This window comes from Homo sapiens, chromosome 5 (genome assembly GCF_000001405.40).
Source record: "Homo sapiens chromosome 5, GRCh38.p14 Primary Assembly".
In the NCBI taxonomy this organism is placed as follows: Eukaryota; Metazoa; Chordata; class Mammalia; order Primates; family Hominidae; genus Homo; species Homo sapiens.
The window spans coordinates 41836852-41849002 of NC_000005.10; the positions used below are offsets into that span (position 1 = coordinate 41836852).

The 12151-nt window shown below is 37.1% G+C and overlaps 1 protein-coding gene across 7 annotated transcripts in view; it reads right to left on the reverse strand.

Annotated features, from left to right (window-relative positions):
- Window positions 1-12151, reverse strand: part of OXCT1 (3-oxoacid CoA-transferase 1) — a 140361-nt gene that overhangs the window by 106787 nt on the left and 21423 nt on the right. For 5 of the 7 annotated variants that reach the window (NR_157114.2, NM_001364302.2, NM_000436.4 and 2 more), the window contains 2 exons: window positions 5824-5930; window positions 3600-3660 (listed from right to left, as the gene is read on the reverse strand). Coding sequence is in view for 6 of the 7 variants with exons in the window: in NM_001364302.2 (NP_001351231.1) it covers window positions 3600-3660; window positions 5824-5930 (168 nt within the window). In the remaining variant the exon portion in view is untranslated. Of the gene's footprint in view, window positions 1-3599; window positions 3661-5823; window positions 5931-6723; window positions 6807-12151 lie in introns of those variants that run through there. The other 2 variants (NM_001364303.2, NM_001364301.2) reach the window with 2 other exon arrangements.

A 12151-nucleotide genomic window follows, 5' to 3' on the forward strand; every position in this document is an offset into this window, starting at 1 on the left:
TGGTCTAGAACACATCTGAAAACAAAACTTTGCCAAAAAGGACTAATGTTTCCCTTTTGCAGAGTCTAGAAATAAGTAACATCAAGGACAATTTGATTTTCTTTTAAATTCACAATAAACATACTCATTTACTTCTTGATGTAAAACATTTGCTGTAAATTATATAATTTAAAAATTATAAACAAAAAAGCAAGATGTATGTTCCTTTGCCACCCTGCTTCTAAATCCAAAACAAATTTAAGATGCCTAAGGGAATCTTAGTACTTTAAATATTTATAGTTCTATCCTCTTTAAAACTCAAGTCAAAACTCAAATCACCAGGGAGAAGAAAGGTTGAGAAGATGCAGCATTGTGGAGTGGGAAGATGCTGGCACAGAGCTTTAGGAGACAAGCTCTAATCCAGATTCCACAATTCAAAAGAAAGGAGATGAGCTAAGAGTTCTTTATTTAAGAAAAAAAAAAAAAGACGCCGTTGACTATGTTATATAGGGTGTAGTCACACTGTTATGCCTCCCACTGCTTAAGATACTATAGTACTAGAACAGACATTCAGTCACCACATTTAGAGAAATATGTAAAAAGCTTAAAGGTCAAAGAGGCTAGACAATCGAATGAAAAGAGTCCAAGAGAAAGACTGAATGAATGCACGGGGCCACTGAACACAGGATGATGCCTTTCTCAAAGACATCTCTAAGGTAGATGGTACTAGAACAAAAAAAAAAAAGACTACAATTGAAATAATTGTCAAGGAAGGTCTGGGATAGAAAAATAAGCTGGGCAAAAAAAAAAAAAAACTCCTTATTTGCTTGTATCTAATAGTTAGCAATGAAATGGACTACTTCTGGAGATTCAATATCTTCCAAGAGTTTAAAGCATCCATTGATAGATAACATGGAAGCATTTCATTACATAATGGAAAAGAGTAGACAGCCTGGAATCAGTTTCTCTGTGGGTCTCTCCTGGTTCCACCTAAGCTGTGTGACATTGGGTATATAACTTAACCTCTCTATGCCTTAAAGTCATCATCTCTAAAATAAAGATAATTATTATTCCTATCTCATAGGACTATTGTGAGAATTTAAAATAATGCACATAAGGAATACGGTAGTGACTAATACATCATAAATGCCTGAATAGTAGCTAACATTATTGGCATTTTGCATGCAGAAGAATATGCAGTTAACTTAATGATCCCTGAAGATTCCTCTTAAATGTTGCACTTCAGAGACCAGCTTATAATCATCCATCCCACTATGACTCCCATAAAAGAAAGCAAGATAGGGCTTGAAAAGTCATAGCAACCTGGAGGCCAGCGCAGGTAACGGAGTGCATAGGGTATAGCACAGAACAGGGGGCTGGAGGTCCAGGGTACTCACTGGACTCAAAATACAAATCACAAAGCCAAAACAGAGTTTCACATCAGAAAATGCCCAATCTAGGCACTAACCCCAATTCCAAATTATTTTCCACTTTTGAGAGCACAGTTCTTACAATTCAATCTATGGTCATGTTTCTACTATGTATACTATATGTTTCTACTATGAACAGGTGTCAGGGGTAGGCTTACAATAATCCTATAGTCCAAAGAGCTGTTTTGCTTATGTTCCTGTACTAGTATAACAGATTATTCTTGATCCTTCTAATCCAGCTTTGTCCAATAAAACTTCCTGCAATGATAATGTTTACTTGTGCTAATCAATACAGTAATCACTAGCCACATGTAGCTTTGCTTGATATGGGACTAGTATAAAGGTAAATTCAATTTCTCAGTCAATTTTTTTTTTTTTTTTTGAGACAGGGTCTCACTGTGTGGCCCAGGCTGGAGCCACAGTGACACAGTCACAGCTCACTGCAGCCTTGACCTCCTGGACTCAGGCGATCCTCAGACCTCAGCTCCTGGGTAGCTGGGACTTAGGCACATGCCACCACGTCTGGCTAATTTTTTGTAGACACAGGGTTTCACCATGTTGCCCTTGAACATCTAGGCTCAAGCGATCCACCTGCCTCAGCCTTCCAAAGTGCTGCGATAAATTAGGCCTGAGCCACTGTGCCATAATTTTAATTTTATAAGTCACATGTGGCTAGTGGCTACCATACTGGAGAGTGTAGTGAATTAGGAGTGGTTGCGCACATTACTGTATTGAAAGAGACCCTAATGTGTGTCTCGGCCTACCAGGAAAGCATTCTGTGATCCATCAGAGATGTCTGTTCCGGGACACAGGAGGGAAGCCTTTATTACATTTGCAGGCTTAGTTAAAGGATTTTCTCTCCTTAGGCCAAAAGAGAGCCTCTCTTTCCTAATACCTGCAATGATTCTTCAACACAAGGTTATTTTCTGCTCTTGTAAGAAATGAGATGAACTGAAAAGAACCAGATTATAACAGGAAAAATTTTAAAGAGAACTTCACCCAGGATAATGCATAACGCCCCTCTGTACTCTGGAAAGAAATACTGGTTTCTGACAGTTTTACAGAAATACAGGAAGTCAACAGGGTGTAAAACTATTGATTATTTTAAGCTATGCTGTAGGCCTTTTTTCAGTAATGCTATAGTTGTGTGCCACGGACAGGTCATTAAGATGGATGAATAAATTAAAGACAGGTTACACAGAAAGTGTAAGCCACACTATCCATTTTAAATTCAGAAAATGTAAAGCCATTGCAAAAGAAACCACCATGCCTCGGTTGAAAGTAACATATACTTCAGCAATTTAAAAATAGCACACTTCATTTTCCAAGAAAGGAACAAAACTCTAACATTTGATTGTTTCAAAATACACTGTACTGACTTCATGAAACATTATCTTGGCCTTGTAAAAATGAATCAAAAGATACCACATACAACACCTGCCATCATGAGAAAAATCAATCAGGAACCTATGTATTTTCAATTCCAGATCCCAATAGGGGTCCTATAAAGCCCTCCCAAGGAAAAACTACCTCAAACTCCCACGAAAATTGGGTTCCAAGTTGATCCTCAAAGCCTCAAGTTAAGAACCATTTGAAGTCTTCTTTGAGGTTCAATATGTTACAACCAAAATGGCACGGTTTTGGTATAAGCCCCTGTTTCTGCCCTGGGTCCTTAAGCCTGGAAAGGCTGCAGAATTATCCAAGCCCCTTCCAAACACTGAGATACCCAAAGGACAGTCAGTGCCTGAATTTGCTCTGAATTGAACCACATCAAAGTAGTTATATGTGCAATGCTCTTCCCTTAAAGAAATCACAAAATCTATCACAGTAAGATCATGAACTTCTTCTGACACATTTACTGTTTTCCAGGGATTCCACATACATAAATTCATCTTGGGATTTCATTCAAGGAGATCTATTTCATTTAAGGATCAAAAGACTTTTATAAGCTGGTCCCATTGCTTGATTCCCAAAGAGAGCATTCTAGTGAGACCCTATCTAACCAGAAAGCTGAAGTTACAGCAAAATTTTAACTATTATATATTTAGATAGAATGGATCCATTTCCAAAACAAAAAAAAAAGCTGTCATTGTTATCCATAAAACAAATGAACTGTGGTACTTTTTCTTGAATTAATACTTAACATCAAGTTAAATAATTAACACCAAGAATTCAAAAATAACCTCTTACCTCTACCACTGTGGTTTCTGCAGCTTTGCACATTGGCAAGTTGAAATTCCTTGCACTTTTCCTACAGGGGTGGAGGAGATAAGAAAGTGGGGGGGAAAAGACGAAAAATAAGCATCTCTGTCACCTTTAAGGTTTTATAGATTAGAATTTCTATGAACTAAGAATCTAAGAATCTTTCCAAAAAGAGTGTATCATATTTTCCATTAATAAAGTTTCATAAATATCTCATAAATTTTAAAAACCATAACTACTTTATTCAATGTATATAGTTTTGTTTTGAACAGGATTGAGGGAAAGAGGAACTATTTTTCACATTCAACATATAGCTACAACAAAAAAAGGAATATTAATAAATCTATCTTATTTGAAGTTAATTTCCCTTAATCTTTTAACAAGTATGCTTTGTCCCTATTAGTTAAATATTTCATTCAACCACTTGCTTTCATTAAAATATTAAGAAAGGAAAAGTAGCAAATGCTTCACATGAGAAGGTACAGTAATTACATTCTCTATTGAAGAGAAGCCTATTGCTGAAACTAAATGAAACATTCATTGATAATTTGTGAGTCAACTATAAAGATCATTCTGGAGAATCATTTTCTGATGAAGTTTTTGGAAGTATAACACCCACATCAGACCCCGAGGTGTAAAAATTTCTAGCAGGTGCCAATTTTGCCGATGGTTTTGCACTCTGATGTTCCTCAATACAGTTCCCCTAATGGTAAAAATTAAAACATATTTTTTGTCTCTGGGAATATACGTTGATGGCAGAATTTCTTTGGTAAAAGGAAGTAAGTCACAGCTATGTTTTACTAGCTCTTTTGAGCCACCAATATTTCTTTTGCTCAGATTGAAGAATGAGTACAGGAATAGGAGCATCCTTGAGAAAGGAGCCCTCGTGAACTTTCACAAGTTGCTGGGTTAGATCCCACCAGACATCCAGGCATCAAAAGCTCCAAGGGCAGAATGGTCAGAGGCAAAGGAGTCCCAAGTCCCCCACTTGAATAACCTAGACAGACTTCTGTTCCAGCTGTCCCACTAAATATGAAGTTAATCCTAAGGTCACTTGACCATTGGTGATGCAAGCTTTCATTTCACACCCGAACTCATTAACCACCAGCATAAAGTCAGTGCCCAGAATAGCCCTTGTGCAGCCTTCAAATACCAGAGCCAGGCACTGCAGCGCAGAATAAACATGGGAATATTTTCAATAATTCCTTTCTGTTTGGTAGTATACAATTTTGTTAATCTTTTTTAAAAAGCAACTAAACGTGTAAATATTACACAAACGTGTCAAATAAGGTAAAGATGATGTAAAATTACTCCTGTTATTGCCAAAATTAGTTGTACTTTAAAAAACTGGCTAAATTAAAGAAATCAAAGAGCATTAATATCACATAAGTCCTTCAGAAATAAAAAGTGATATGAGAGTATCACTGAGAACTTAACTGTAATTGCACCAAAGCTGCATTTGCTAAAGATTTAAAAATTGTTAATCGAAAGCAGCAAATGATAAATAAGCAAAAACAATGATTTCTGTAATCTGATAGGTAAAGTCTTCAAGATCAGTTTGGAAAACTCTTAAGTGTACACTCAAAGGTTTCATATTCCTCAAAAAACAACTATATAAATCTATAAATCCAAGATATAAATACTTAGTATGCTTAGAATAACCAAAAGATTTTAAAATCTATAAAGTCTGTGGCTGAGAGGATTGAAAATTCAGTATTATAAAGGTTAATCAATTTTTCAGATAGAACCTTTGTAAGCATTTCCTAGAAGACACCAAAAGGACTGAAGGACTGACCCCAATGATTATTAGCAGTATCTTTCCAGAGTATCAAATTAGCTTTGACATTTTAAGACAATACATGTAAATTACAATATCAATTAAATAAAATTGTATGATGTCACATTTTCTAAGCATGTAACTGGTCTTGGCAACTAAAATACACAAGGAGAAAAACAACTGCATGTGCCTATATAAAAGGGCATATAGATCCAAATATTTAACAAGCAGTGCAACATAGATATCGACCAGTCTAAACAGACTCCCACAAGTGGACATACCAGCAGCCCTGCACACACCTATATATGTGCAATACACATGGGCATGTATGATTTTGGGCCATTACGAAAATACATTTTTAAATTCCAAATTCACTCTGATGTCCATTTTTAGAGTTGCTGATATGCACGAGTGTTTTTAAAACTATCACAATACCTGAAAATCACGTTTCCTGCTCGGTCCGCCTTCCAGGCTTTCACCAAAGCAAAATCCCCTGTAATTGCTTCCTCCAAAATAAAGTGCTGACCATTGAACTCCCTCACCTGCAGAAGAGGGAGAAGGCATCATCAGGTATTTGCATAGGTCTTGATTGTGATAGAGGCACTCTGATAGAGGTAGATAATAAGGATACAAGCCTACTGAGGGAAAATTTCTCAGAGGGAAAAGCATCCCAGAGACTTCAAAGATAAGCAGTGTTAGGCAAGCAGGACTTAGTCAAAGTGGTCTAAGGGGAGCTAAGGAAACAGACAAGCAAAGGTCCAGTGACAAAAGAAAATTTGTGCATTTGAGGAACTGAAAGTTCTATGGCCTGAGGGATAGACTATTTTCATTTTACTATTTGTATGTACAGGTTGTATATTGAATGTGAAAAATAGTCCTTCTTTCCCTCTCCCCTGAAAAAACAGTTTGCATAAAATGGTCTATGTATTGTTTTCCTACATAAAATAGTTACAAAAATCTATCATTCAGCTATCCTCAATAACCTATATCACCTGTTGAGATTTTAAATGGGATTCACAGAATCAGTAAATTTGGAGAAAACCAACAAGCCCTATCTTCCCACCCATGAGCATAGTATATGTCTCCATTTACTGAGGTTTTCTTCGACCTCCTTCAATAGTTTTATTATTTTCTCCATAAAAGCTTTATTTTTTTTCTTAGGTTTATTTATAGGTACTTAGTGGTTTCTCTTGCTACTGTGAATGTTACATTTGCTCCTATCTACTCTTCTGACATTACTGATCTAGGGAATGCTATTGATTTTTATTTATGTTTATTGCCTTTTAATTATACTACCAATTTTGGAGGGAAGAACATAAAGCAAAACTGTCTTGCCATCATGTTCTTTTATTCTTGACGGTTTATTTCCGGGAATTAAAACAAGCATCCATTGCCACACTCCATCACTGCACAAAATGGAGCCATGTGAATGTAGAACTCCATTCTCATCCCTACCGCACCCCCTAGTGGAAAAACAGACTAAGTGCGTTTTACAAAAAGCTGCTATAGAAAATAGAAAATTTTGGTACATTTATTTCAACTATGGTTTGAAACAAAACCTTTCTTAAATAAAGGCTACTTTAAAGACATTAACCAAGTTGCCTGCTAGAAAAAAGATTAATGCACTTAGGGAATAACTGATGAATGAGGATCTTACTATAGGAACTAAGATAAATTATATGAAAGATATTTCTGAGCCACATATCAATATACAAAGTTATTTTGGAACGGCTTATGTATTTCAAAAATCACTGTAAATACCAACAATGATAGTTGAGTGTTTTACATACAGATCTAGAAAACTGGGGTAAATATATGCAAATGCAAGGCAAAGTCAATAAATAGGCTTCTTTTATATTCTAGTTACATAATTTTCTGATGTGTCTACATACCAGCTGTTGCTGAGTGTTAGTTTTACTGAAATTTAAAAATGGGGAAGGAGTTGGTTTTGTCAAACTAGCTATTATACTCACTTGAAAGAATTCTACATTTCGTAGTCACCACTTCCTCACTTTTTGGTTCTTTCTTGAATCTAATGAGATTTTCATCCCCTCTATTCCAAAAAGGAATAATTCTTAAAGTTGTCAATGACCTCTGTTTTTGCAAATCCAATGATTCAATTCCAGGCCCTGTATTACCAACCTCTTCACACTCAGTTGATCATTCCCTTCTTTTTAAAATTTCCCTTCTCTTTCAAATTGCCAGATGCCCCTGGGTTTCTTCTTTACTTACTAATCACTCTTTCCCATTTCTCTTTGCTGCTCCTTCTCTTCCCAATTTCTAAATGTCAACGAGGTGCTCTGCACTCAGCCCCTAGACACTCATCTAGTATACAGATTTAAATACTATATGCTGATGCCTCCAAAGTCTCTATCCTGGCTCTAGACTCTCCCCTGATATGACGTTCACTAAGCACCTCCTCTTGGAGTCTAATGAACGTCTCCAATGCACCATGTTCCAAACAGAGCTCTTTGATAAGGCCTGTGCTTCATTCATCTTACACAGTATGCTTGACTCCTCTTACACCCCTTACCTATCTACCAGTAAATCCTGTTGGCTCTACCATGAACATAACACCAATTTCAACCACTTCTCTCAAACTCCACTGTTACCACCTTGGTCTAGCCACCTTCCATTCCCTCCTAAATTAACACAACAGCCTCCTAAACCCTCTCTCGCTGCTTCTGCTCTTGGCTTCCTAGCAAAAAAAAAAAAAAAAGAACCACCACCCCAGCAGCCACAGTGATAGTTACAAAAGACAACTCAAATTACATCACTCTCACCCTTATTCAAAACTCCATAGGCTTCCCACTGCGTTCCGTAAAATTCAAACTTTGCATGAATTTGACTCCTGCCTCTCTTCAATCTCCATCCTTATCACTCTCTGCCTCATGTGCTGTTCCAGCCTCACCACCCTCCTGTTCCCCAAACACGGCAAGCCTGTAGCTGCCTCAGCACCTTGTACTTACTCTTCCTTCTGAACAGAGCACAAACCCTCTTATCTCCACTTGCCTCGTTCTCCTACCTTATTCAGGTCTCTACCAAGTGTCACCTCCCCAAAGAAGCTCTCCCTGGCCACCAGTCTGGAATATCAGCTGCCTGGCCAGTGATAATTAATTCTCTTTGCTGTTAATCTACTTGATTTGTCTTCACAGTACTTCCACTATAGACATTATGCATTTATTCATTCATTGTCAGTTCCTCCACTAGCAGGAGGACTTGATCTAGATCATTTTACCACAGTGCTTAGACCAGGGTTTGGCAAAGAGTAGGACCTCAATAAATAACACTAATTTAGAAATGAACTCACTTTTTCCTGCTTTAAGTAAAAAAAAAAAGTACTAAGAATTAAGAAATAAATTATCTGTCATATTCCTAGGGAATTCAGACAAAATTAAAAAACTACGAGTTTGAGGCACCTGATTCCAGGCAGAAATGAACCTAAGAAATATTTTAGTCTCATATTTTCACGAGGTGAATTAATTTTTCAACTTCTAGCAAGCTATCAAAGTATTTATCCCAAGTTTTCCGGGAACTTTATGAGATACTACTACAGTTCATTTTAACAATTAGGCTCCTGTCTTTTACTTTGTCAAGAAGCCTTTTAAACTTATTTAGACAGTAAAGGAAAAAGATCAAACATAAAAAACACATTTTTTATCTTAAAATATTTTAATGTAAAATTTATCATATAAAAATGTACAAAATATGCTTATGTAGCATTTTAAAAATATATGCAGTACTTATACATTTTTATAACACCAGCTTAAGAAATAGAACATTAATATTCAGTTTAAATCCCCCTGCATTCCCTCCCTAATTGCACTCATTTTCTGCCTTCCAATCCAGAAGTCTTCTCTTTATTTATTTATGTATGTATGTATGTATTTATTTATTTATTATTATTATACTTTAAGTTTTAGGGTACATGTGCACAATGTGCAGGTTAGTTACATATGTATACATGTGCCATGCTGGTGTGCTGCACCCACTAACTCGTCATCTAGCATTAGGGATATCTCCCAATGCTATCCCTCCCCCCTCCCCCCACCCCACAACAGTCCCCAGAGTGTGATGTTCCCCTTCCTGTGTCCATGTGTTCTCATTGTTCAATTCCCACCTATGAGTGAGAATATGCAGTGTTTGGTTTTTTGTTCTTGCGATAGTTTACTGAGAATGATGATTTCCAATTTCATCCATGTCCCTACAAAGGACATGAACTCATCATTTTTTATGGCTGCATAGTATTCCATGGTGTATATGTGCCACATTTTCTTAATCCAGTCTATCATTGTTGGACATTTGGGTTGGTTCCAAGTCTTTGCTATTGTGAATAATGCTGCAATAAACATACGTGTGCATGTGTCTTTAAAGCAGCATGATTTATAGTCCTTTGGGTAGATACCCAGTAATGGGATGGCTGGGTCAAATGGTATTTCTAGTTCTAGATCCCTGAGGAATCGCCACACTGACTTCCACAAGGGTTGAACTAGTTTATAGTCCCACCAACAGTGTAAAAGTATTCCTATTTCTCCACATCCTCTCCAGCACTTGTTGTTTCCTGACTTTTTAATGATTGCCATTCTAACTGGTGTGAGATGGTATCTCATTGTGGTTTTGATTTGCATTTCTCTGATGGCCAGTGATGGTGAGCATTTTTTCATGTTTTTTGGCTGCATAAATGTCTTCTTTTGAGAAGTGTCTGTTCATGTCCTTCGCCCACTTTTTGATGGGGTTGTTTTTTTCTTGTAAATTTGTTTTTGAAAGGATCAACAAAACTGATAGACCGCTAGCAAGACTAATAAAGAAAAAAAGAGAGAAGAATCAAATAGACGCAATAAAAAATGATAAAGGGGATATCACCACCGATCCCACAGAAATACAAACTACCATCAGAGAATACTACAAACACCTCTACGCAAATAAACTAGAAAATCTAGAAGAAATGGATAAATTCCTTGACACATACACTCTCCCAAGACTAAACCAGGAAGAAGTTGAATCTCTGAATAGACCAATAACAGGATCTGAAATTGTGGCAATAATCAATAGCTTACCAACCAAAAACAGTCCAGGACCAGATGGATTCACAGCTGAATCCTACCAGAGGTACAAGGAGGAACTGGTACCATTCCTTCTTAAACTATTCCAATCAATAGAAAAAGAGGGAATCCTCCCTAACTCATTTTATGAGGCCAGCATCATCCTGATACCAAAGCCAGGCAGAGACTCAACCAAAAAAGAGAATTTTAGACCAATATCCTTGATGAACATTGATGCAAAAATCCTCAATAAAATACTGGCAAACCGAATCCAGCAGCACATCAAAAAGCTTATCCACCATGATCAAGTGGGCTTCATCCCTGGGATGCAAGGCTGGTTCAATATACACAAATCAATAAATGTAATCCAGCATATAAACAGAACCAAAGACAAAAACCACATGATTATCTCAATAGATGCAGAAAAGACCGTGACAAAATTCAACAACCCTTCATGCTAAAAACTCTCAATAAATTAGGTATTGATGGGACATATCTCAAGATAATAAGAGCTATCTATGACAAACCCACAGCCAATATCATACTGAATGGGCAAAAACTGGAAGCATTCCCTTTGAAAACTGGCACAAGACAGGGATGCCCTCTCTCACCACTCCTATTCAACATAGTGTTGGAAGTTCTGGCCAGGGCAATTAGGCAGGAGAAGGAAATCAAGGGTATTCAATTAGGAAAAGAGGAAGTCAAATTGTCCCTGTTTGCAGACGACATGATTGTATATCTAGAAAACCCCACTGTCTCAGCCCAAAATCTCCTTAAGCTGATAAGCAACTTCAGCAAAGTCTCAGGATACAAAATCAATGTACAAAAATCACAAGCATTCTTATACACCAATAACAGACAAACAGAGAGCCAAATCATGAGTGAACTCCCATTCACAATTGCTTCAAAGAGAATAAAATACCTAGGAATCCAACTTTTACAAGGGATGTGAAGGACCTCTTCAAGGAGAACTACAAACCACTGCTCAAGGAAATAAAAGAGGATACAAACAAATGGAAGAATATTCCATGCTCATGGGTAGGAAGAATCAATATCGTGAAAATGGCCATACTGCCCAAGGTAATTTACAGATTCAATGCCATCCCCATCAAGCTACCAATGACTTTCTTCACAGAATTGGAAAAAAACTACTTTAAAGTTCATATGGAACCAAAAAAGAGCCCGCATCGCCAAGTCAATCCTAAGCCAAAAGAACAAAGCCGGAGGCATCACACTACCTGACTTCAAACTATACTACAAGGCTACAGTAACCAAAACAGCATGGTACTGGTACCAAAACAGAGATATAGATCAATGGAACAGAACAGAGCCCTCAGAAATAACACCGCATATCTACAACTATCTGATTTTTGACAAACCTGAGAAAAACAAGCAATGGGGAAAGGATTCCCTATTTAATAAATGGTGCTGGGAAAACTGGCTAGCCATATGTACAAAGCTGAAACTGGATCCCTTCCTTACACCTTATACAAAAATCAATTCAAGATGGATTAAAGACTTAAACGTTAGACCTAAAACCATAAAAACTCTAGAAGAAAACCTAGGCATTACCATTCAGGACATAGGCATGGGCAAGGACTTCATGTATAAAACACCAAAAGCAATGGCAACAAAAGCCAAAATTGACAAATGGGGTCTAATTAAACTAAAGAGCTTCTGCACAGCAAAAGAAACTACCATCAGAGTGAACAGGCAACCTA